Genomic DNA, 25,220 nt, shown 5'->3' on the forward strand with positions numbered 1-25,220 from the left:
TGTCTTTCTCCCGCTTAACTCCGTGAATGACTCGAAACCCGACTCCAAGGCACGGCTGCAGCTCGCGGCGCGCCCACAGCCGGGCCGCGGGTGGGGACGGAGCTGAAGCCGGGTCAGAACTCACCCGACTCGCCTGGGCTGGGGGACGTCTGGAGAACGTCCTGGGGTTGTCGAAGAGCGAACCGTCGGCGGCTGCCATGGTCTGCGTGGGTGACGCGTGGTGCAGCAGCGAGCCCGGTGCGCAGACTGCTGGGCCCGGGACCCCACGTGGGACGCGCGAGGACCCTGCGCCACCGCCCCTTCCGGGTCCGGAACGGCTCCAGCTGTACGGACTCGTCCCGAGGGGAGCCGGGGACGGCGGCACCGGGCGGGTAGGGACAAGACTACCGCGCGTGCCCCCGCCTGGTGGCAGCCCCTCTCTGCGTCCCTCGCGGCCTGGCAAAATTACATTCGGCCGAGAGTTCACGCTGGGGAAGCTCTCTGAATGCCTCTGAGAAGCGAGATCCGGCGCCATCTCACCGACGAGCCTCCCCTTTACCGCCCCGTGCGTTTCCTCAGCACTTTAGGAACTAAAGCCTGTCTGGGTAGCTCCCTAACAGGCTCTGGAGCTCAATCCCTGGGCAGGGAAAAGGGGGTCCTCGGGGCTCCCCGCTCGCTGTCCTTTTTCTGGACAGGCAGTTCCTTGGCCACCTGGTAGGGCCGCGTTGCCTGGCAACGGCGGGGTCCTTCTTGGCTCGGCGGCGCTCGGGGCCTGAGGGGAGAAAACCGCCGCGGAGGGCGCTGGGGGTGGCGGCGGCGGTCCGGGAGGTGGTCGCGCGACTGCGTGGAGCGCCAGGGCGTCCGACCTCTGCACCTGAGAGAAGATGAACACGGCCGACCAGGCCCGGGTGGGGCCCGCGGACGACGGGCCTGCGCCGTCTGGGGAGGAGGAGGGAGAGGGGGGCGGCGAGGCGGGCGGGAAGGAGCCAGCAGCGGACGCGGCCCCGGGGCCCAGCGCTGCATTCCGCCTCATGGTGACTCGGCGGGAGCCGGCCGTGAAGCTGCAGTATGCGGTGAGCGGCCTGGAACCGCTGGCTTGGTCCGAGGACCACCGCGTGTCTGTGTCCACGGCCCGCAGCATCGCTGTGCTGGAGCTCATCTGCGACGTGCACAACCCGGGCCAGGACCTGGTTATCCACCGCACCTCGGTGCCCGCACCGCTCAACAGCTGTCTCCTCAAAGTAAGTCATCCCCCGCCATCCCTGGGGTCTTCCCCTGTCCCCCTCTCGCGGCCGCATCATCCGTCCCAGGGGAATCCGATCCCACACTCTGTCCGGGGATTTCCCTCTTCGCACCGAGCGCTGGGGATTTATTAAGCAGCCAGGGTTACCACAGCTTAAAAAAAAAAAAAGAAAAGCTCTGCAGCTGTCTGCACCCTGTTTCCCCAGGTCACCCGCCGCCGCAAACACAGGTACACACCCAGGGGGCTTCCCGGAGTTGAGTCCCAGGAACCCCTCCTTCGCCCCTCCGTCGGGCCCGCACATGGAGCGGGTTACTCGATGGTGCTTTCTGAGACTCCACCCCCTGTAGATCCAACCCGGGGCCTGCCTCTGTCGTTGCTGCTATTGTTTGGGGCCGACTTTCCGAGGTTCTTGGCTGGCTTTGTCTACTGTGTGTGTCCTCCTCTCGCGCCTCTTTAGCTTCAGAAAAGAAAAACTGGTCCCATCCATTGTCTTAATTGTTTCAGTGACTTTATTATGAATGGTCCTCGCCTCTCCTTGGGCAAACGGGTAAATACTGGATCTCGGGGTTTGTACTTTAGTTTTTCTTTACTAGCTAAACATCTTTGGGATGTTGAATGAAAATAAAGATTCGAAACAACTACCTATCTTAAACTTCAAGCGCAAGGTCAAGTAGTAAGCCATAGCGTTCCTTTTAGTTGCTTAGAGGTGTAAAAACTTTCCATATATCCTTGATAGAGGTGTACGCTTACATGTGAACTGTCAGTGTATATTCATACATTCAATAGATATTTGAATACCATTCTGCTTGGTGCTGCCCCATGTTCTGGAAATAAAGCAGTGTACAAAACAGAACCCCTGCCCTCATGAAGCTTACATTCTTTGGCAAGTCAAGCACAAATGATAAGGTCCTGTCAGGTAGTGATAAGCACTGTAAAGATGTGTATCCGCACATAGAGAACATGTTTATGTGTTCGTAAACTCTTATTTTGGAAAACCATTGAAAATATGAGTCATTAGCTATAGGTAGGGTGCAGATAACCCTCATCACTTTGTAGCATACTTAATTCAAGTTTCAAACATCTTTCTGTTGTTAGATTGTTAGTCAGCTTGTATGACTAAGCTTCCTCTAAGATCTTCTTGAAGAAGATATGAACACATTTGTTCAAGTGTAAACAAATCAGATAGACAGATGCAACCCTATGAAATTGAGAAATACAAAAGGAGGGAGGCAGAAGAAAGGTGATTTAAAAGGTGTATCTTCTGCTGTAAAGGAATTTAACTGTTTCCAAGGATGTTCATCCGCACAGCAACTCAAGGAAAGTATGTATGTCAGTATAGTAGACATCGAATACCTTAGCAGAGAGAATGTAAAGAAAGGAGGGAGTAGTAAGGGGAGAGACTTATGGGGCAGGTCATCTGGTGGTGAATCTGCAGCAGTCCTAAAGAAGGTAGTGTTTGGTTTGTAAGAGGAAGGAAGGAAAGGGCATTCCAGGCGGCAGGAATGAGGCATTCATCCCATGTGCATACACGTTTAAGTCATGAACATAATTAATTATTGTTTGTATAATGACGGATCAGTACATGAGCTCAAGTAGGTCTTCTAGAGAGTCCGAGAAAGTAAGATGAGACCAGTTTGTGGACTTGGAAGGTCGGTATGAGGAAGTTGGCTTCAATCTAGGAAGTCTTTAAGATGCTGTTACAGTTTCATTAGCATAGAGTGACCTGCTGTGGTTCAGGAACATTACTGGATAGAGGCAAGAAGATGATTGTTGTGATCAGTGTAAAATAAAAGTGAAGAGACTGGGCTTTGGCACAAGATAGGCCTATCTATAAAAGGGGGATAATGAAGCGTTGTTTAGGTTTTTTGGAAGATTAAACACACATAATCACTTGGCCCAGTTCTTGGCACGCTGTAAATGCTCAAGGTGAAAATATAATGAGTTGGGCCGGGCGCGGTGGCTCACGCCTGTAATCCCAGCACTTTGGGAGGCCGAGGCGAGCGGATCACGAGGTCAGGAGATCGAGACCATCCTGGCTAACACAGTGAAACCCCGTTTCTACTAAAAATACAAAAAATTAGCCGGGCGTGGTGGCGGGCGCCTGTAGTCCTAGCTACTGGGAGGCTGAGGCAGGAGAATGGCGTGAATCCGGGAGGCGGAGCTTGCTATGAGCCAAGATTGCGCCACTGTACTCCAGCCTGGGCGACAGAGCCAGACTCCGTCTCAAAAAAAAAGAAAGAAAATATAATGCAGTTATACAGGTATGAAGGAGTAGGAGTCTGGATTAATGTCGTGGTTGTGGACATGAGTATTCTGATAAAATTTTGACTGTCATTTTGCCTCAGTTAACATTTACCACAACTGCTAACTAGTAACAGGAAATCCTTATATAGCTCTCTTATAGTTGACAAATGGCTTCTATGAAATTAATTAGTAACATCTTCCCCTTCTGTACTGTTGTTTTTTTTTTAATATGCACATCACATAAACCATCAGTCATTTAGCAGTCTTTTTAGACTGATTGAAGTGAATGAATGCTGAGTTGACCCTGCAGTTCTACAAGAGCCCTCTGTGGGTTAAAACTGGTGTGACGGTAGGAATGTAAAGAAGTCTGTGTCAGCACTTTGATGACTCCACCCATTGGCAGTCTGTGGATTTAAATCTGCTCGGTGCCGTGCAGCATGCCTTCGCGCTAACCTAAATGGTGGACAGTCTGCAGCGCAGATGACAGTTTTAGTGTAGCACTGTTAGAAAGCTAGGTACTAAACACCTTTGAAGCTTTTGCTCTATAATTCTGTTATTTAGATTATGAATTTGCAGGAAAATCTGCAGTTATGTAATAGTTCAGACATTAATTATCAGCTGTTTTATAAGATTGTATGATATAAAGGTGGACAGTATAAATCTGAAAAGCAATGAAATAGTGATTTAAGAATGTCAGAATTGTTTTTCCCATTGGACTACTGATTTAGTGACTCATCTAGTGAGACATTTGTGTATAGTTCCAAATTCTGATAATATTTGTGTACCGAATTGTATTGTGCATCAATTGTTAGGAGCCTTAGAAAGTATTAACTTCATCTGCTACATTAAGTTAAATAACTGTTGCCTGTCTTTGGACTCTATTACCTGTCCTCAAGAAGCTTACTGTCTAAAAGCTTCAAGTGAATTTTTGTCAGGTGCTTACAAAATGCCTAACAGTTAGTATTAAAAGTATTTGCCATTAAAAGTGATGGTGAAAACCGCAATTACTTTTGCACCAACCTAATAGTGGTCAACTGGAAACTGGATGGTGTACAATTAAATGATTGGCTGCGGGCAGGCCTCTGGGAGCTGGACTTTTTAAGTATACTCCTTGGGCATCTGAATACTTGATTTGTTAACAGTTTTGTGATAGGGAGAGTTGGAGGGAGGTTCAGTAGTCTAGTTGAAACATATGTCAGAAATTGCTACACAAAACCCTAAGACTTTTTCCTACCAGTCAAGATCTGTACTGCTCTCCATCCTGTCAAGAATTCTTCCCACAATGAGTAGGACCAAGGGTTGCTTAAGCTTCCTTTATTTCATCCCGTGCTGCTGCTTTGGGTTACCAATCCTGTGAGTTTACTTCTACAGTAGCTTTTATTTGTAGCAAATTTAACCTATTCTAAGGAGTATTGCTTAGTTCACAGTATTAAAGGATTTGATGAACAATTTTATATCTACCTTTCATTTGGTACACAACTTTATGTCTACCTTGCATTTTTGCATACTTTTATTAGCATTAAATATCTTATTAACATTTACTTAAGGCTGAGTGCTGTGGCTCACACCTGTAATCCCAACACTTTGGAAGGCCAAGGCCGGAGGATCGCTTGAGCCCAGGAGTTAAAGACCAGCCTGGGCAACAGAGAGAGACCGCATCTCTACAAAAAATTTTAAAAATTAGCCAGGCATGGTGGTGTGCACCTGTGGTCCTAGCTACTCAGGAGGCTGAGGTGAAAGGATCACTTGACCCCGGGAGGTTGAGGCGGCAGTGAGCTGTAGTCACGCCAGCTGCACTGCAGCCAGGGTGACAGAGAGGAATCTCAAAAGTTTTTTTTTTAACTTAGTCCTCAGAGTATATTAACAATTATCATAGGTAACTTTATTGAGCGCTTAATATATGCTTTGATATATTGACTTATTTAACCTTCCTAACTTTCTGGGACATGTATTAGTCTCATTTATAAATGAGGAAATTAAGGTCAGAAGGTTTAAGCAATTTGCGCACACAGAGCTGGTATGTAGCAGAGCCAGCATTTGAACCCAGGTAGTCTGGCGTCATAGCACAGATTTTCAGTTATTATGTTGTGCTTCATTATGTCATCTCACAAATTTCATCTGCCTGTAGAAAGCACCGGGCTTTGATTAGCATTGTTTTATTTCCAAGCCAGCCACCTACACCTCATTTAATTGGCATTTTCAGTCTATGATTCTCCAGCAAGTTTCATAGTGTATCCAAGAGACTACTTTAAAATGCCTTCCTAAAATCAAGATACACTGCCTAAAACACCATTCCCAAAGTATTCCACATACTTTTGGATAATAAAGGGTAATAACTGCCTCCCTCACCTCCAAAAAAAAGGCTCTGTTGTTTAAAAAGGCAAAAAAGTTTGGCTTCCTGTGGCTCAGTAGGTCTTTATAGTAGTTCCCTGGCCGAGGCATTTAGTGTCCTCGTGTCACTTTTCAAGGGAGAACGACATATAAATATAGTATTTCCAAAGCTTGTTTGGCCATAGAACTATTTTTCAAGGGACAATTAAAGGGAGTAGTGTACTGTGAAACACACTGTAGGAAAAGTTAGTTCTCTATTTTGTGGACAATTTTCTATTTACATTTCATTTTATTTGCTTATCTATTATGTCATCTAGCAATTTTAGCAGAAAAGAGAATAAGAATAGACTATTCCAGTTACCCTTTTTTTTTTTTTTTTTTTTTGAGATGGAGTTTTGCTCTGTTGCCCAGGCTGGAGTGCAGTGGTGCCATCTTGGCTCACTGCAGGCTCCACCTCCCGGGTTCATGCCATTCTCCTTCCTCAGCCTCCTGAGTCGCTGGGACTACAGGCACCCACCACCATGCCCGGCTAATTTTTTTGTATTTTTAGTAGAGACGGAGTTTCACCGTGTTAGCCAGGATGGTCTCGATCTCCTGACCTCATGATCCGCCCACCTCAGCCTCCCAAAGTGCTGGGATTACAGGCGTGAGCCACCACGCCCAGCCATCCTTTGCTTGTTTCTAATCATCACTCCTGTCTGCACAAACTATTCATTTGTTAATACATTGAGGAATTTTCTGTTAGGCTTAATGGTCTGTAGTTTTTGTTATTTATGTACCATTTGGGGGATTTTTTTTTTTTTTTTTGCAAAGCCTGGCTCCATCACCCAGGCTGGAGTGCAGTGGCGCAATCTCGGCTCACTTCAACCTCTGCCTCCCAGATTCAAGCAGTTCTCCTGCCTCAGCCTCCCAAGTAGCTGGGGTTATGGGTGCCCACCACCACGCCTGGCTAATTTTTTGCTATTTTTAGTAGAGATGGGGCCTCACTATGTTGCCCAGGCTGGTCTCAAACTCCTGGTCTCCAGTGATCCACCTACCTCGGCCTCCCAAAGTGCTGGGAGTACAGGTGTGAGCCACCATGCCCAGCCATGGGGGATATTTTTTAACTCTTTGTTGCACTCTGATTTTCTGATACATCCCCAGTTGTCCAGACTTCATCTAGGATGTAGTAAGTGGTTCTGAGTTAATGTCTTCCAAGTGCTTTCTGTGTCCTGGAGGGTAATTCCTCTAGGCTTGAACATTTAAACTCATTCAAGTGACTTTTATTATATCCATGTGTGTCTTAGGCTGGAATTTCCTTTTAATCATGTTCTACCCTTTCCAGTTTAAAGAGCAGCCTCTTTGAAAAAGGAAATTGACACTAAAAAATAATTGAAGCATTCTTTTTCTTTTACCCATTTCTCTAAAGACAGTGGATAAAGTCCTTCCTTCTTCCTGCTTTCAACATAACAAAACATCTTTTGGCTAGTCTCTGCTCTTTTTGGCTTTAGCTTTCCTATTTTTTTATGGTTCTGAACCACTTTCTTTTGGTCATTTATCTCTTCCTCCATCTTTGATGTCCCTTTAAAATCTTATTAAAGAGCTCACAGCTGGGCACGGTGGCTCACACCTGTAATCCCAGCACTTTGGGAGGCCGAGGCAGGTGGATCACTTGAGGTCAGGAGTTCAAGACCAGCCTGACCAACATGGTGAAACCCTGTCTCTACTAAAAATACAAAAATTAGCTGGGTGTGGTGGTGCACGCTTGTAATCCCAGCCACTTGGGAGGCTAAGGCAGGATAATCACTTGAACCCTGGAGGTGGGGTTTGCGGTGAGCCGAGATTGTGCCACTGCACTCCAGCCCGGGCGACAGAATGAGACTCTGTCTTACTGTCCCATACATGTTACGAACTTGGAGGAGGGAGAGATGAATGAAAGCTTGAATGACCTCAAAAGGCCTTATAGGGAGAATTAGATCTGGTAGGATAGATGGGATTTACATAGGGAGAAGAACTAGGCAAGGGAGCCGGGGAAAGCTGAGGTGGGAATGTTCAGGAATGGCAACTAGAATAGTCTGATTAGAGTGAACATTATTCTATAGAAACAGTAAACAAAGCAGTTGGAGTTGGCTCTCGCCATTATTTGTCAATGAAATTTCAGATAAAGGACCTAAAGCTGGCATTTGTATTGCAAAGATGTTGTAAAAATCTAAATATCAATTTGTATCAAAGATATATATAGATACATATTTTCATAAATTTGTTAACACCTTTTTTGTTTTGTGACTAGTTCAGGTAAATGCTCTGTTGAATCTTAAGAATCAAGTACATCTCTCTTGCATATATTAATTCTAAGAAGAATATGGGAACCAGGCTATGAATAATGACATTCTGACTTATTTTAAAAAATTGCCATCTCCTTGAGTAAATGCTCATCTGATAGTTTTTATATCTCTTATTTTCAGGTTGGCTCAAAAACAGAAGTTGCTGAGTGCAAGGAGAAATTCGCCGCCTCCAAGGACCCCACGGTCAGTCAGACTTTCATGTTGGATAGGGTGTTCAACCCTGAGGGGAAGGCTTTACCACCAATGAGAGGATTCAAGTACACCAGCTGGTCTCCCATGGGTTGCGATGCTAATGGCAGGTGCCTCTTGGCAGCACTGACCATGGACAATCGCCTGACCATCCAGGCAAATCTCAACAGACTGCAGTGGGTCCAGCTGGTTGACCTGACTGAGATCTATGGAGAACGTCTTTATGAGACCAGTTACAGGCTCTCTAAAAATGAGGCCCCGGAAGGAAATCTCGGGGATTTTGCTGAGTTTCAGAGGAGACACAGCATGCAGACCCCAGTCAGAATGGAGTGGTCGGGCATCTGTACCACCCAGCAGGTCAAGCATAACAACGAATGCCGGGACGTTGGCAGTGTGCTCCTGGCTGTCCTCTTTGAAAACGGTAATATCGCCGTGTGGCAGTTTCAGCTGCCGTTTGTAGGAAAAGAATCCATCTCTTCATGCAACACAATTGAGTCAGGAATCACCTCTCCCAGTGTATTGTTTTGGTGGGAATATGAGCACAATAATCGAAAAATGAGTGGCCTTATTGTGGGGAGTGCTTTTGGACCCATAAAAATTCTTCCTGTCAATCTCAAAGCAGTCAAAGGCTATTTCACTTTAAGGCAGCCTGTTATCTTGTGGAAAGAAATGGACCAGTTACCTGTGCACAGTATCAAATGTGTGCCACTTTATCATCCTTACCAGAAGTGTAGTTGCAGCTTAGTAGTGGCTGCAAGAGGCTCTTATGTATTTTGGTGTCTTCTTCTGATCTCCAAAGCAGGGCTGAATGTTCACAATTCCCATGTCACAGGCCTTCACTCACTGCCAATTGTCTCCATGACTGCAGACAAACAGAATGGAACAGTCTATACTTGCTCCAGTGACGGAAAGGTGAGGCAGCTGATTCCCATTTTCACAGATGTTGCATTGAAGTTTGAACACCAGTTGATTAAACTCTCAGATGTGTTTGGCTCAGTGAGGACTCACGGGATAGCAGTGAGCCCCTGCGGTGCATACCTGGCCATCATCACCACTGAGGGCATGATCAACGGCCTCCACCCTGTTAACAAAAACTACCAGGTCCAATTTGTTACTCTCAAAACCTTTGAAGAGGCAGCTGCTCAGCTCCTGGAATCTTCAGTTCAAAACCTTTTTAAGCAGGTAGATTTAATAGACCTAGTACGCTGGAAGATTTTAAAAGATAAACATATCCCTCAATTTTTACAAGAAGCTTTGGAAAAAAAGATTGAAAGCAGTGGAGTCACCTATTTTTGGCGTTTTAAGCTTTTCCTCCTGAGGATTTTATATCAGTCAATGCAGAAAACCCCTTCAGAAGCCTTGTGGAAACCCACCCATGAGGACTCAAAAATCTTACTAGTGGATTCGCCTGGGATGGGCAATGCTGACGATGAACAGCAGGAAGAAGGCACTTCTTCCAAACAGGTGGTGAAGCAAGGCCTGCAGGAGAGGAGCAAGGAAGGAGATGTAGAGGAGCCCACTGATGACTCGCTCCCCACGACTGGAGATGCTGGAGGCCGTGAGCCAATGGAAGAGAAACTCCTGGAAATCCAAGGGAAAATCGAAGCTGTGGAGATGCACTTGACCAGGGAACACATGAAGCGAGTCTTAGGAGAAGTGTATCTGCACACCTGGATCACAGAAAACACTAGCATCCCCACCCGCGGACTCTGTAACTTTTTAATGTCTGATGAAGAGTATGATGACAGAACTGCACGGGTAGGTGTTTATTAACAAAAACTCTGAAATTGTAAAGCCTGCTTTCTTCATGAGAAAGAAATGACCTAAATTGAGTTCCTGAAGCTCAACTTTTGCTTTGACATTTTTTAGGTAATTTATTTGCTTGAGGTGCAGGGTAATAAATAGGAAGCGTGGATTAATGCAGAGGATGCATTCATAGCATATAAAGAATATTTTGATTCTTCTTCACACTGGCCTTGTTAGATATGCAAAGTTTGCAGGATGAGCTTTCCAGACTGGATTAGCTCAGAGGCTGCATTTAGCTGAGTAGTATGTGATGGGCAATCATGGCTGTAGAAATATGGTGCCCATGCTCCCTGCCCTTCCTCTTTTGCAAAAGTTTTGTATGGGAGGGGTGTAGTGACATGTTTTCCATTTGATAGAACTTAAGGATATCTTCAGATTTAGTCAAGAAAGACATATAAAGTAAACAAATTATTACTCATGTCTCATTTTTACAAAAACTGGGCACAGTCTTTATTTTGGTAACAGAACAAACTTACCTAGAATGTATTCTATAGAATTTAAGTTGCTTAACAGAGCACTAGGGTTCCCAGTGCATATTACCACTCAAAGCGTTCTGAGGATTCCTACAGAAAAGAAACTGATACCTTTGTGTAGCTCGGTATTACTCAGACTTCTTGATCAGAGAATCTTTCTTGCAGCTAACAGTTGTTAAAATCCTGAAGAACTTGTGTTCCAAGAAATATACTGTGTTCTGAAATATTCAAAACCACAAATATCTGTACTCCTTTTTACTTCAAAGACTGATACTTACTGACTAAAGTCTTATTTAAAGTATTAATTGAAGGCAGTATCCTTGTTCTTAATGTTAAGCCATTCACAATCACTTGTTGCACTTTCTTGTTGGAAAGAATGTGTATGTTTGTGTACACACGTTCGCCTTTGAAATTATTGCTCATAGAATGTTTGCAATGGTCTTAAGAGTATTAAGATGCACTGTTCATGTAACTGACTTTACTTCTTTAAAAGTTAACTTTTGGGGCTGGGCGTGGTGGCTCACGCCTGTAATCCTAGTACTTTGGGAGGCCGAGGAGGGCAGAACACAAGGTCAGGAGACCAGGAGACTAGCTGGCCAACATGGCGAAACCCCGTCTCTACTAAAAATAAAAATTAGCCGGGTGTGGTGGCGGGCGCCTGTAATCCCAGCTACTTGGGAGGCTGAGGCAGGAGAATCGCTTGAACCTGGGAGGCGAAAGTTGCAGTGAGCTGAGATTGTGCCATTGCACAATCGACAAGAGCAAAACCCATCTCAAAAAAAAAAGTTAATTTTTAAACGTTGTTTCATTGTGTTCCACATTGTCTGGAAAAGTATTCTGGTTATCACAGTGCCATGGGACCTGGTTAGGTTTATTATAAGAGTCAGTGAAAAATTAGCAAAAACATGTTAGAAAGTACTAGAGGTTGGATTTGTAATGATTTAGAATAATTGTCCAGATACTCCATGAGCCTGGGAAGTTACATTTAGCATGGTGATGTGATTCCAACATAGCCATTTTAAAAACCAGAAGATTGCACACCCGTCCCTGTTTATAGCAACTGAGTTTATTGAAGACCACGCATTCCTGTCTTAAAAATCCAACTATATGCATAAAATGAAGACTTTTTAAACCTAGGATGTTGGCTTATTAGCAGTTATAAATTATTTTGGAGATTATCAGCCTAGTATGCTAGTACAGTTAAACTAGCATTTTTTAACCTTTTTAAATTATCACTCCCCCCCGAACATTTTTAGACACTTTTTCTGAATTGCCCCTGCCCATGAAGTTTTAATGTATTTTGTGTGTCTGTTTATGTACTGTGTGTATATCTATGTTTTATACGTAAAAGTAAGAACTTTTTGTCCCAAGAACTAATATTTGCTGCTTTGGAAGGACTATCACTCCCATTGAGAATGTGTGAGTCAGAATAACACAGTTGAGAGTTCAGCTTGCCGAGATCAGGGCTACTGAGAACAAATAGCAATCCTTCCTTATGTAAAATTGAGATATATCTGGGCCGGGCACAGTGGTCATGCCTGTGACCCCAGCACTTTGGGAGGCCAGGGTGTGAGGATCGCTTGAGCCCAGGAGTTCAAGGCCAGCCTGAGCAACATGGTGAGACCCTGTCTCTACATAAAGTAAAAAAAAAAAAAAAAAAAAAAAATTATCCTGGTGTGGTGGCACAGGCCTGTAGTCCTAGCTACTTGGGAGGCTGATGGGGGAGCCATGTTCTCACCACTGCACTCTAGCCGGGGCAACAGCGAGACCCTGTCTTAAAAAGGAAAAAGAAAAAATAGAGGTATGTATGGGAGGAATTCTGAGTAGTTTTTGTCACTGTATCATTATCAGGATGTTTGGCCTGTCTAGAATAGCAGAGTGAGTTTGGTCATCTTTGCTGTTAGGGACCATATGTTAGAATTCTTAAGACTGAAAAGAAAAAAGGCCAAAAATTAATGGGATTTAAATTTGTAGAGGATATACAGAAGAGGTAAGATAGCTGGCTTACCAACTTCTGAGCTAGTAAGACACCCTTTGAAACGTAAGTGAACTAATTTTAGTGAATTAATCCAAAATCTTGTGGATTCATCCATAAGAGGTTAAGCAGAAATGGATTCGAAACTAGAAGGGCGCTATCACTAGTAAGAGAAGACAACTCTTGAGGGTTGTGTATCCCAGCCTCCAAATTACATATCCAGTGAAGTTTTAAAAAAAAAAAAAGAATTGGATTCAAGTTTTCTTTTCAGACTTTTATTTTTAAACAGTATAATCTTTTTTTTTTTTTTTTTTTTTTTACTGAGATGGAGTCTCACTGTGTCAACCCAGGCTGATGTGCAGTGGCGCAATCTCGGCTCACTGCAACCTCCACTCACGGGCTCAGGCAGATCCTTCTGCCTCAGCCTCCTGAGTAGCTGGAATTACAGGTATGTGCCACCGTGCCTGGCTACTTTTTGTATTTTTAGTAGAGACGGGGTTTCACCATGTTGGCCACCTGGTCTCGAACTCCTGACCTCAAGTGATCCACCCGCCTTGGCCTCCCAAAGTGCAGGGATTACAGGCATGAGCCACTGTGCCCAGCCAAGAGTGTAATCTTAAAGCAGAGAAAAGCAAAACTGAAGCAAAGAAAGGCCTAGAGCCTGTGCCATTACCTCTCTCACTCCCAGCTTCTTGCTCCTATCGTGGGTCTTGCCATGCCTCTGCAGTGGGGTCAGCTTGTCTCAGATTGCAGGCTACTGGACCATGTTGGCCATGGGTCTTTGGGCCATCAGAATAGACATTTGTACAGTTCTGCAAAGAGAGCAGTATTCCACATAATATTTTGCCTATAGAGATTATGCTTTTTCTTCTTAAAGTCAAAACATTATAAATAATAGCTAAATACTTTGTCTTCTAACAGAACTCTGAAATCCTTGTTTCAGAAGCAACTAAAACAAGGCAAGTAATAAGATTTTGGTTTTCAGAACAGTTTTCTCCTTAGTGGTTACAGTTTACCCTGTTATCACAGAGTACCTGAATAAATTTATTTTATTTAGCTAGTTGACACAGGTTGAAACTCTAGTTCTTTTATTTTTCAGACAGTATAATCAGGATTTGTGGAAATGCAAATCTCCTGTCTTCTGTAAAATATTGCTCTTTTCTTTTTTTCTTTATTTTTTAATTTTCCCTTTGTGTTTGTAGGCTTTTTCTTCAGGAAATCCTGCACTTACACTAAACTTTGCTGACTACTTTGTCTTACTAGGTGCTGATTGGACATATCTCAAAGAAGATGAACAAACAGACTTTCCCTGAGCACTGTAGTTTGTGTAAAGAGATCTTGCCATTCACAGATCGCAAACAGGCAGTCTGTTCCAATGGCCACATTTGGCTCCGGTAAGCCATTTTAAAAGTTTCTACTTCTGCTCATTTTTCAGTTTTGTGTAGCACAAACTACTGTATGTGACAGAATAGCAACTTTATGCCAGTTATCTGTTGCCCTTGCCAATTTGTTGGAGAAAAGCTGCTATTATAAAGCCTGATGTGGACTTTTTTCATCAGTGTCACTCAAGCAAGTTGGCCTTTAAAGACAGTTTTTTACTGCTTAATATATAGGAGTTTTCTTGTTTTATTTGTTCATTTTCCTAATTGAACAAATTATGGCTCCTCTTCCTAGCCTCACTCTAAGACCTTGGTGTGTCCTCATGTTACTGGACCTGTGGGCTGCATTTGGCACAATTACTCCCTCCTTGAAGCACTTTCATCACCTGCCTTCCGGGACACAGCACTCCCTGGTTTTTGTCCTGTCTCTGACTCTTCATTCTCAGTTGTCTTTGCTGATGGGCACCTCAGCTGTCTGTCTTTCTGCCTGTTTTTCTTCTCTCAGCACTTTCCCTGGGTGGTTGCTTATCATCTGCACACTGATGATTTAAACATAGAGTTTTTGCCTGTATCTCTCCCCCTAAGTCTAGGCTTATATATCTAACTGCCTGCTCAGTACCTCTATTTGGATGTTTAATAGGCATTTCAAATTGGAATCCAACCTTTTGTTCCTACCTCTGCAGCCCTGGTCCAAAACACCATCATCTCTTGCCCAGCTTATTACACCTGTAGTTACCTTCCATCTGGTCTTCCCACTTCCATCCTTGCCCCTCCAGTCTGTTATTATAGTTGTGATAGTGATTGTATCAAAACTTTGTCACTGGCTACTTGTTTCTGATGAGTAAAACTAAAACCCTCTCAGTGATCCACAAGACGCCACACAGCCTGGGGCCCCTTCCTCCCTTTGTCCTCCCGCTGACCTCATCTGCTGTATTTGTCCATCTTGTTCGCTTCACTCCAGGCAGAATGGCTTCATTCCTCAGGTACGTGAGGCGCCCTCCACCTCAGGACGTCTACACTGGCTGATTCCTCTACCTAGGATGCTGTTCCAGCAGATGTCCACGTGGCTTCCTTCAGTTTCCCATTATCAGTTAGGCCTTCCTGGCCACCATATCTAAAATTGTAACACCCCACTGACATACCTTCCCCTCCCATTACTTTGCATCCTCCTTCCTTGCGTTATTATTTTCCTCCTTAATAATTATCACTATTTAATATATTTTTTCCTTGTCCTTCCTCTAGAATGGAAAGCTGTATGAGGACAGGAACTTATGTGTTTTGTTTACAGCTATTTCTAGAACAATGCCTAGTACATGGTGGGCACTAAATTTTTTAATTTTTTTTTTTTTTTTTTGAGACAGGGTCTTGCTGTATTGCCCAGGCTGGAGTGCAGTGGCACAATCTTGGCTCACTGTGACCTTTGCCTCCTGGGTTCAAGCGATTCTCCCACCTCAGCTTCCCCTATAGCTGGAACTACAGGCATGCGCCACCACACCCGGCTAATTTTTTTTTTTGTATTTTTGGTAGAGACGGGGTTTCACCATGTTGACCAGGCTGGTCTTGAACTCCTGGGCTCAAGTGATCCACCCACCTTGGCCTCCCAGAGTGCTGGAACTACAGGCGTGAGCCACTGCACCCGGCCAAATTTTTAACAAGATTGTGCTACACGTACCATATTAACTCACCAGTTCTGTTATCAAAATGTATGTACATTTTTCTACATCACTACAAAGATAACATTCTTAATGGCTATAGAGGTTTCTAGTGTATGAATGTTTCATAATTTACCCCCTTATTATAATTTGTTTTTTTTCCAATTTGTATTGCATTCCTACACTTTTTTTTTTTTTGAGATGGGGAGATGAGGTCTCACTATGTTGCCCATGGCAGACTCGAACTCCTGGGCTCCAGTGATCCTCCTGCCTCAGCCTCCTGAGCAGCCAGGACTATGGGCATGTACCACCATGCCTGGCTTCTACACTTTTTCTAATTTGAGTGTTCAGACTTTTTAAGAGAAAAGAATAGGAAATAAGCTTGTAGTATATTTTAGGTTAGTAATAAAAATAAAAACATATACTGAGTGCTATTAATATGCCAGGCACAGTCTAAGCTGTACACACTTATTAAGTTACTATATTATGGTGGTTGTGAAAATAAGTTACTAGGATTACAGGTGTGTGCCATTGCACCTGGCTTTCTGTTAGTTAAGATTGGGTATAACTACTGTCTTTAAGACTGACAGTACATTGGGGAAAACCCTGACGAATATTGAAGGCAAAATTAATGATGCAAGAAGAGACAGGACACTAACAAATGTTCACAGGTTCAATTCCATCCAAAGATTATTCATTGAGCCTTTACCAGGGCCAGGCAAATAAGGATAGGTGGAATGTATTTTTGCAACAACCATGTATGGGGAGCATCATGATTACTTTTGTTTTTACAGATGAGATTGGGGCCTGGGGAAGTTAAATAATTTGCCCAAGTCACAATGGTGGCTTGTGGCATAGCTCAGAACCTGACATTCTGTCTCCAGAAGCCACATGTGTAAGCATTACACATTAATGTCTCCTAGATGGGTTCTTTCAGGAAAACTGTTTTCATTTTTCTTGACTAAAGTTAGGGCTGAAATACCCCAGTATGATTTCTCTAGGTGAGAACCAGTGCTTGCTGTCACTCAGTTGTAATCTTTCTTCCTAGATATTCAGTTCTTTACTCAAGGTGTGCCTGCCTGGAGTCCCTTCCCCTAACCTCTGCCTGCTTGGAGTCCCTTCCCCAACCTCCTCCTTTGTGTTTTCTGCTCCTTAGTTGCTCACCTGAAAACTGTTATTTTTTGGGAAACCTTCCCTGCAACCCAGATGTACCCTTTCCCATCTCATTGCATCCCACCTGTCCTTATTTGCCTGGCGCTGGTAGATGGTCAGAGAATAATCCTTGGATGGAATTGAACCTGTGAACATTTGTTAGTGTCCTGTCATTTTTTTGCACCATTAATTTTGCCTTCGATATTCTTCAGGGTTTTCCCCAGTGTACTGTCAGAGTCTTAAAGACACTTTCTAATCTTAACTATTAGAAAGCTGGGCCCAGTGGCACATGCCTGTATTCCCAGCTACTTGGGAGGCTTAGGCAGAAGGATCACTTGAGCTCAGGAGTTCAAGGTTAGGCTGGGCAACGTAGCGAGACCCTGTCTCAAAACAACAGCAACAACAAAAAACCTAACGAATAATTCTCAATATAATACATGATCAATTTTTAAAAAACAGATCAAGAATTTAAAGTGCGGTCAGGTGTGGACAGACTAAATTCTTTTCTGATGCTCAAACAGGAAAACTGCAATCTACCTGGATTAGAACCGTTGTGTCTCTTTGCTAAGCATGGAGTATTGGTTTGGCCAGCTTTGGTGCACAGGGGGATGCATTGTTATGTGAATGTATGAGTATCATGCTTTCATTTGGTTAATGTGTGGTTTTATGATAACTCTCTGTGATGGAGAAACATCAGTTTCTGAGTGTTAGTAGAGCAAACCCTCTCCCTTGCCAATACAGTCTGTCTTCTTTCAGGTGCTTCTTAACCTACCAGTCCTGCCAGAGTTTGATATATAGAAGGTGTTTGCTCCATGACAGCATTGCCCGGCATCCAGCTCCAGAAGGTGAGTGCTTTCCCTTACTTGGGAGGGTGGGTGGGTGGAACATGCTGGCAGAGGGCCAGCGCCCCAGAATAACAGTTCTAGTCACGCTCTACACTTCTTGGTATTGTGTTGTCGGGGGTGGGGGGTGGGGAGTAGGCCCCTGCTGCTCTTTACGGTGTTACTGTGAAGCCACAGCTAACTAAAACATGGCCATTGGAATATGTCATATTGAAGTGCTTACTGCATTTAGTATGTAAGTTTGTCTGCGTTGCTATTCTGTCACTGCAAACAAATTATTCATTCCAAAAAATGTCAGAGCTTGTTTCAGTAGATGACATAGATAGATTATATTTGAATGTAAACTCTGTGGATGATACTTTATACGAAGACATTATTGAACCAGTAATAGGATATTCACTTGGAGTCATTCTTCCAGTAGCCATGATGGGTTTTTTTCCTGGTTGGTCTATGTGCTCTTTCCTGATAGTTCTAATGTCATCCGTTTCTGAGATAACTACCTGGAAATAAGATTGTAGAGTGGGCAGGAATTAGTGATTTAATAATGACGCAAATGTCAGATTTTGTCCTGACGTTAATAATGCACTCTAACCAAGTGAGCTAACTAGGTACAGAATATACAATTTTATATGTATTTTGAGGGGAATATTCTATTCTCAGCTGAAACAAACAGCATTCTATATAAAACTACATAAATTCTTGAGCTTTGCTCTAAACTGGCAGAAGCTCTCTAATTCTCATAAGTTGGTATGTTGATACCTTGTGTTCTGTTGTAGCTTTTTATTAGGGAAACAACAATCATACACAAAAGGAAAGAGAAGGGTATAATAAACCACTGTGTGCCCATCACTTCAGAAATTATTGACTCATGGCCTTTTCTGTTTCATGTGTAGTTCCCTCACCCACCTCCCTCCTCCTGATGGATTATTTTGAAACACATTTTTGGGAACTTTTAAATTTTTACTGCAATTGATAATGGATATGCTGCTTAGGCAGGAAATCTGGAAGAGATTGAAACTTTAAAAATCTTACCCATTGACTTTGAGTCTAGCCATTTAAAGCTTTTGAGAAGAATGAGAAGCTACTGGATCTAAGAAGAGCACTGGAGTAGAGTTTTTCATAGATGAAAGACGAGGAGGATTTGACCAGTGTTGCCGCATTTTTATTTCTCAAGGGCATAGCATTTTTTAAAAATTCCTATTACTGTAATTTTATGAGAGAATATTTTAACATTAACAATGTATGAAGAACACATTCTCGGAATATACTCCTTTCTTTAAATTGAATAAATTTAGCTTTATGAAACATTCTTCATTACCCTTATTTTCCTGTTTCATTACATTTAACTTTGTGAACCACAAGTTTAGTCCAGCCTCATTTGGAATGATAGAAACCGAAGCCCAAAGAAGTGAAGTGCTTTGTCTAGGGATATGTAGCTGGTTTATTGCAGAGGTGGGACCAGAATGCCCGTCTCTCAACGCTACAGTCCGGTATTCATCCCTTTTGACTGTCTTTTCCGAAGCTAACAGTTGATACCACTTGTCCTCCTTTTGCAGATCCCGACTGGATTAAGAGGTTACTGCAAAGCCCCTGCCCTTTCTGTGATTCTCCTGTCTTCTAAATAATCAGTGACGGGAAGATGGAAGGGCATGATGAACTCTGCCATAGAAAACTTCCTCCAGCCTGAAGAGAAGGATGCACTGGAGGAAGCCGGACCCTCACGAGTGGAGAGAAGTCCTTGGTGATTGTAAAGAGGGCCCCTGGAGCTCATTTCTGAATCGCACTCTCCATTTCCAGAGACTAAAGGATGTCCTTTGAAATGGCTGGACTCAGAGAGTTGGAGTCGTTTTGAGATGAGCATTAGCCCCAGCTTTGTAACCAATGAGGAACACTTACTTATTTTTAAGTATCTTGACAGAAGCAATTTGAACACAGTGTCCCGTCATTTCTAGAAACAGAATGGTCTCTTCTAGAGAGCTTGGATAAGGACCTTGCTGGGTTGAGTTAGGTTTTAATCCTTGCTTTGGTTTGGAACTGCCTTCGGGCTCCAGAACTTAAATTGCTTGGTCCGTGGCATCTGATGTACCAACAGAGATTAAAAGTGTAAAGCAACACATGGGCTGATGTTTTGTTCTCAGAAAATAGCTGCTGGTCTGCATCCCTCCATTCTTGTTTTTTATGCATATGGAAAACATTTTCCTAAAACTCTATATTCTTAAGTTGAAGCCAAGACTAAAATTTAATGTGTCAAATGATCTGGTGACTATTATAATGAATAATTGTGACTTATTTTTCATTCTCTCCTGGGTCATCAGGTTTCCTGACCCAACTCCTTAATCCGTATAAAGATGTCAAATACTGTAGTTCACCCACGCCACAGCCCTGCTTCAGACTTAACTGTGGTAGCCTAGATGAGCTATTTGTACACAGAGGAAAAAAAGATATTTTCCTCTTTTAGTAATAAGACTTTCAGTATTTTTAATGTTGACATTTCCAGATGTTTCATTTAGTATCCAGGGGTCTGTCTGGAGACTTCTAGAGAGGGACAGCTCAGAAGTGAGACCCTTGAGCTCTGGTGCTGTAAGCTTGTGCAATTAAGTTGAACAGAGCCTGGGAATTTCTTTCCTCTGCACAGTCCCTTGATATTTGGAATCCAGGTTCTGCCCCCAACCCCTACCCACCCAGTGGTCTGTTAAGATGTCTCAGATGGGGCTGGGCTTGGTGGCTCATGCCTGTACTCTCAACACTTTGGGAAGCAAAGGCAGGCAGATCACAAGGTCAGGAGTTCAGCCTAACCAACATGGTGAAACCGTGTCTCTACTAAAAATACAAAAATTAGCCAGGCGTGGTGGTGCACACCTGTAATCCCAGCACTTTGGGAGGCCGAGGCAGACGGGTCACTTGAGGCCAGGAGTTCGAGACCAGCCTGGGCAATATGGCGAGACTCCGTCTCTACTACAAATACAAAAGTTAGCCTGGCATGGTGGCGCATGCCTGTAATCTCAGTTACTCAGGAGGCTGAGGCAGGAGCATCACTTCAACCCAGGAGGCAGAAGCTGCAGTCAGCCGAGGTGGCACCACTGCACTTCAGCCTGGGCAAGACTGGAGACTGCCTCAAAAAAAAAAGAAAAAAAATGTTGGTACTTAGATGATACCATGACGGCAACCTCCCCACCCCCACCCCGCATTGATAGGTAGTGCAGACCAGCCCTTGGAGGCACTTCTAAACAGTCTGCTCAGAAATGTTTTCTGTTTCCTATTCAAATTGCTGTTTTGTCTCCTATGTTTAATCATGTATTTGCTATTCTGCTTATTTTTCTCATTTGGTGGTAATTTCAAGAAGAGCGTTTATCCACTATTGATTTTCAAGAAAGAAACCAAGCAGCATTGAAATCATGAGTAACAGAATTCAGAACATTGTATGGTGGAAGTCATTTGTGTCTGCAGCTGTTTTTTCACTTTACAATAAATAAGAGTAAAAATTGAGATCATGTCAAAAAATTATTGCAGTTTTAATCATTATGGCATAGTTTCACTTCCCCTCCCCCCATTAGAATCAGTGGAGATTTGTTCTTACTAGGGAATTTTGGACTGCTGCCATTTAAAACTTAGGTTTTTATTTAAAGCAGTTGTGCATTTTTGAGAAAATGTATTGGGAGTAACTAGAGAGGATCTCCCAAATTTTTTTGTATGTCTCTCTAGGAGTAAACATGGCAACAGTTTTTCTAGAACGTGGACTCACTGCAGGGACTGGACCCAATGGCATTGTTAAGACCCTAAAATCTAGCCACCACCTGCCTCCCCCAGGTTTCCACACACCCAGTTGGAAGGCCTTTCCCTGCCCTTGTCCCTGTCTCACACCCATGGAGGTTAAGCTACAGAGCTGGGGAAACAGGAGATTTTGAGTTAATGGCAGCCTCACAAATAGTGCTTCTGAATTTCTCTGAGGGTCAGCATACCTCATGGGAGTGTGTTGCTCAGTGCAACCTTGGAAAAGTGGGAATGGCACCAGACGTTTTTCAGGTGCCTCTTGCAATTCAAACTTACATCCTCTATACCGTCCTAAAATTTGCCTGATCTTATTTGGTAGATTTCAAGTTGCTTTCAGCTGTGACCGTAATAACTGTTTCAGGAACTGGAGAAATAGTGGAAGTGCTATTGCCGCGCTGCATGTAAAGCACAGGAGCAAAGATTCGATACAATTAGACCCTTTAAGCTACAACGTGGTTGCATTTGGGGAGTCTGATACCCACATAGGTATCACATTTTCTCTGCCTGGGGTTAATTTGTTCTTATTATTCTAGGTAAGAAATTGATAGCTTGTTATGCTTGGTACTCATTCTGAAATCCCTGTGTGTCCACCAGGCAGACTTCAAGCAATCTCTACCTACTATTATATCTGCCAAAACTACCAATTATTTTTCAATGTCAGAAGTTATTAGAGCCACTGGCAAAGCTCATGGTTGAATATGACATTTTTCTGCTTTTCCCTCTAAGAAGTTTTTGAGAATGTTAATGTTGAAGTATGCAGGCTGGACCTACCAGCAAGTTTAACACGTTAATTAGGTTAAAAAGAATATTAAAAGGCAATAATTAAATATTTCAATTATTTTGTAATTATAATGGTATCAAATAAGATGCAAAAGAAGTTGATGCTTATTGGTGCTTAAGAGAATTACAATACTGGTTTTATGAGCATCTTTTCTCTGCAACAGTTAAACTGCCTCAGAGTTTGTGAATTGCTGCAATTCCTGGAATGGAAACAGGAATTAGGGTCACTGGTTGATTGGCACAGGATCTTTCCATCGTTTCTGCTCCTGACCTCTCTCTCTTGCCTTTCCTTCCCCCAGACACCCTCTTGGTTTCCATTCCTTTAGTTCCCTCTGCTTTAGAACACAGATTACATGTTGGAAAGAAAAATGGATTAATGGTAAAATTTCTAAAAGCTAAATTGTACAGTGGGGTCTCACTTCCTAGAAGAAACTATTGGTAATATTTCTTTCTAAAGGTAATAGTATTAATTGTATCTGGTTTTCTTCAAAACTTAACTATAATTTCCTTGTCAGGGTGCTCAGTAGCTCTTGGTTTGACTTTGGGCTAAGGGATGTGAAATTTTAGCTCCTTCCCACCACCTGTTTCCCCTCACTCCCACCCCCAGCCAATATTCTTCATAAGCAAAAATTATGGTTAAGCTAAGCTGAATGGGTTATATTCAAAGTAAGTACAGACGGCAAATAGGCAGACAAATACAGGAATGTCTTTACAATTAGCCCACCATGGACTGTTTTGAGTCTCTGCATGGTTTCCATAATTCATTATGATGTATCTTTATGCTCTTTCACTGCTCTTCTGTGCGTTGGAGTTTAGCAATTCAGTGAGACTGGGGAGTGTCTCAAGAATGGAACCTTTGCCTTCAAGGTTGGGTCATCAAAAATCCCTCTAAAGGATCTAACTGTAATGAACTGTTTTTATTTTTGCCATTAGTGCAAGTATCAACTGGCAGCCTCAAACAGCTTTAGACTATGTCTCAGGTCTCTCATAGTTATACTTAGAACTGCTCTTTCTTGAAGCTAAAAGAGGTTTTTGGAGTAAAGATCTGCTTCATGTCTGCTAGCATGGTATCTGCTGTTCAACCTAGTATAGAGCATGTGAAATGCAACTGTCCTTTAATGGAATTCAGCCAAACTCCAAAAATACTGAGTTGCTTCTAGTTATCTAAAGTAGTACAGAATCACTATCCCGATGAAGAAGTGGGGTTTTTCAGAAGATTGTAAACTCATTTCCATGGCACAGATACAAATCATCGTCAGGACTTGTTAGCCAGTCCATGTCTCATTGATAGGATGTAGCCTGCCATCTGCATAGATGGTTTAACATGGTGCTGTTTTTGAAAACTTGCTGTGGAAATAAATTTGACAGACGAGTAGTTATTTGTAAAGCTGTCCTAGAAAGAGGTTAATTCTTTTGGTATATGAATATTTCTCCTCCAATCCTTTTAATTAGGTGGTTCAGCTTATCTTGTATTTTCTGAGTCATAACTATACTCTAGGGCCAAGACCTACTATAAAATCTGGGGTCCTAACCAGAGAGTTGTTTAGATCAATATGATATGCTTTGCCAACATGATCTAAGAAGGTATTCATTCTTTCTGGGTTTGAGAAGAGTTGACGAAAGTGTAAGATTATACTCTCATGCTAAAATAAGGTATAGGCTAAGTGAAATACTGTAAATGGGTTGGTTAGAATTAAAGTTTAGAACTCTAAATCTTATGCTTATTTTTAAAGTAAAAAGTTGCCTCACTGTCATGAAATCCTGTTACTTTCATTAAAAAAAAAAATCCTGTAAAATGGTCAAATTGGATAATGTAAGAGATAATGATGGCTTTGAGGCATTTCATACTTTACCAGTTTACATTTGGCTAGCAGACTGGTAAGGTTTAGGGTTCTCTCCACTAATGGAAAATTAAATGCTAAACGTCCTAAGAATTATGTTGTTTTCAAGGCTTTGACTCAGATTTGTACTTTGATGTATGAAAGTGAATATCAAACTTGTTTATAGAAAAGACTATATAGAAAAATAAGTCTGTGTTGTGTATAGTGATACATGTTTTATGTTTACCCAATGCCTGTACTAAATCTTGTGCTTGGCTTTGAATTATATATGTGTTTACCTATGACTTTTTTTTGAAATAAACAGAACAGTCATCTAAAAACATAAGGTTTTGGAAAGGAGATGCTTTTTCAATTCTTACCATCTGATTAGGTGGAATGTTTTATAGACTTTTGGTGTTGAAAAAAAAAAGTTTGATAACAATGCATTTTGCTTGGAATACCCCCCAATCCAGAAAAGTTGGTGACTTCTCTCCATTGTATATATGTACATAGTTTTCATTACTAGATTGTAAGCTCCTCAAGGGCAGGAATTGTTTTATCTTTGTTGTTCCTGCAGCACCTAATGTAAAGTGCCTTGCACAGGGTAGGTGCTCATGACGTGTAGAATGAGTGAGTAACTTCCTGCCTCATCAGGATGAAATGTGGTTCACTTCCCCTGTGTTCAACACTACAAAGCTACTCCTGCCAGAAGAGGGCAGAGTTCTTTCTTGGGTTTGAACTGGCTTTTTTGGGTTGAACCAGATCATCCCACATCCTTAGCACTACTTAACCTTCTTTTCCTGAAGATTACATATCAGTGTCCTGCGTTTTTATCTAATATTAGAGCTGAGGTTCCTAGGAAAATTTTGAAGTGGGGAAGATTATGGAGAAAATGAAATGGAAATTTGGGGAGGGTGGTTTGTCAGTATAAGGCCCTGTGGGGTAATCATATTTTAGTTATTACTTGTTAAAAGGGTAACAGAACCTCTGTTTCTTTACCAAGTCGCTGGTTGGCCATTTCTCCAATTGATGAACTACCATTGGTTTTAGCTCTTTCTCATTTGGGATTCCCCTCAATTGCTTACATGATTCTGGTACTTAGAGTCTAATAGAGTTGCTGTGAATATGTAGTGCTGTACATAATGGCAGTTTTGTAAATGTGAGATAACCTTGAATATGTTGTGGTTTGTATACAGAGCCATTAGTATTGTTATTTTGGCCACTTTTTTATTCAAAATAAATAACATAATTATTTGTATA

At 42.6% G+C, this 25,220-nt stretch overlaps 2 protein-coding genes across 13 annotated transcripts in view, besides 6 other annotated features; one reads left to right on the top strand and one right to left on the bottom strand.

Annotated features, from left to right (window-relative positions):
* The window catches only part of DDX31 (DEAD-box helicase 31), a 76,987-nt gene extending 76,739 nt beyond the window's left edge, over positions 1 to 248 (bottom strand). For all 11 annotated transcript variants that reach the window (NR_136309.2, NM_001322340.2, NM_022779.9 and 8 more), the window contains exon 1: positions 125 to 248. Coding sequence is in view for 9 of the 11 variants with exons in the window: in NM_001322340.2 (NP_001309269.2) it covers positions 125 to 199 (75 nt within the window). In the remaining 2 variants the exon portion in view is untranslated. The remainder of the gene's footprint in view (positions 1 to 124) is intronic.
* Positions 105 to 972: an enhancer, noted in NCBI's record as "NANOG-H3K27ac-H3K4me1 hESC enhancer chr9:135545227-135546094 (GRCh37/hg19 assembly coordinates)". NCBI's record gives its function as "activates a minimal SCP1, AML or CMV promoter by ChIP-STARR-seq in primed H9 embryonic stem cells {active_cell/tissue: H9 hESC(primed)}" and the evidence as "EXISTENCE:reporter gene assay evidence [ECO:0000049][PMID:30033119]".
* Positions 105 to 1,017: a biological region, named in NCBI's record as "NANOG-H3K27ac-H3K4me1 hESC enhancer GRCh37_chr9:135545227-135546094".
* On the top strand, positions 300 to 25,220 carry GTF3C4 (general transcription factor IIIC subunit 4). 2 transcript variants are annotated; one of them, NR_133925.1, is made up of 6 exons: positions 300 to 1,220; positions 8,242 to 10,068; positions 13,486 to 13,523; positions 13,828 to 13,958; positions 17,504 to 17,592; positions 19,146 to 25,220. NR_133925.1 is itself a non-coding variant. In NM_012204.4 (5 exons), the coding sequence occupies exons 1-5, from the start codon at positions 864 to 866 to the stop codon at positions 19,208 to 19,210; spliced, it is 2,469 nt and encodes an 822-aa protein (NP_036336.2). In that variant the 5' UTR covers positions 729 to 863; the 3' UTR covers positions 19,211 to 25,218. The 2 variants fall into 2 exon arrangements, 1 of the variants encoding a protein (NP_036336.2); NM_012204.4 differs by lacking the exon at positions 13,486 to 13,523 and having other exon boundaries at positions 729 to 1,220; positions 19,146 to 25,218.
* Positions 318 to 467: a silencer, noted in NCBI's record as "silent region_20435". NCBI's record gives its function as "represses an Ori minimal core promoter by ATAC-STARR-seq in GM12878 lymphoblastoid cells {active_cell/tissue: GM12878}" and the evidence as "EXISTENCE:reporter gene assay evidence [ECO:0000049][PMID:35858748]".
* Positions 658 to 737: an enhancer, noted in NCBI's record as "active region_29220". NCBI's record gives its function as "activates an Ori minimal core promoter by ATAC-STARR-seq in GM12878 lymphoblastoid cells {active_cell/tissue: GM12878}" and the evidence as "EXISTENCE:reporter gene assay evidence [ECO:0000049][PMID:35858748]".
* Positions 888 to 1,017: a silencer, noted in NCBI's record as "silent region_20436". NCBI's record gives its function as "represses an Ori minimal core promoter by ATAC-STARR-seq in GM12878 lymphoblastoid cells {active_cell/tissue: GM12878}" and the evidence as "EXISTENCE:reporter gene assay evidence [ECO:0000049][PMID:35858748]".
* Positions 3,832 to 3,881: an enhancer, noted in NCBI's record as "active region_29221". NCBI's record gives its function as "activates an Ori minimal core promoter by ATAC-STARR-seq in GM12878 lymphoblastoid cells {active_cell/tissue: GM12878}" and the evidence as "EXISTENCE:reporter gene assay evidence [ECO:0000049][PMID:35858748]".

The sequence above is a fragment of the Homo sapiens genome, chromosome 9, assembly GCF_000001405.40.
Source record: "Homo sapiens chromosome 9, GRCh38.p14 Primary Assembly".
Taxonomy (NCBI): domain Eukaryota; kingdom Metazoa; phylum Chordata; class Mammalia; order Primates; family Hominidae; genus Homo; species Homo sapiens.

Excerpts from the sequence above, each read along its gene's own strand:
- GTF3C4 (NM_012204.4), top strand. The coding sequence starts at position 864 with ATGAACACGGCCGACCAGGCCCGGGTGGGGCCCGCGGACGACGGGCCT. Across the intron at positions 10,069-13,827 it reads ATGATGACAGAACTGCACGG|GTGCTGATTGGACATATCTC; the intron begins GTAGGTGTTTAT and ends TTGTCTTACTAG. Across the intron at positions 13,959-17,503 it reads AATGGCCACATTTGGCTCCG|GTGCTTCTTAACCTACCAGT; the intron begins GTAAGCCATTTT and ends GTCTTCTTTCAG.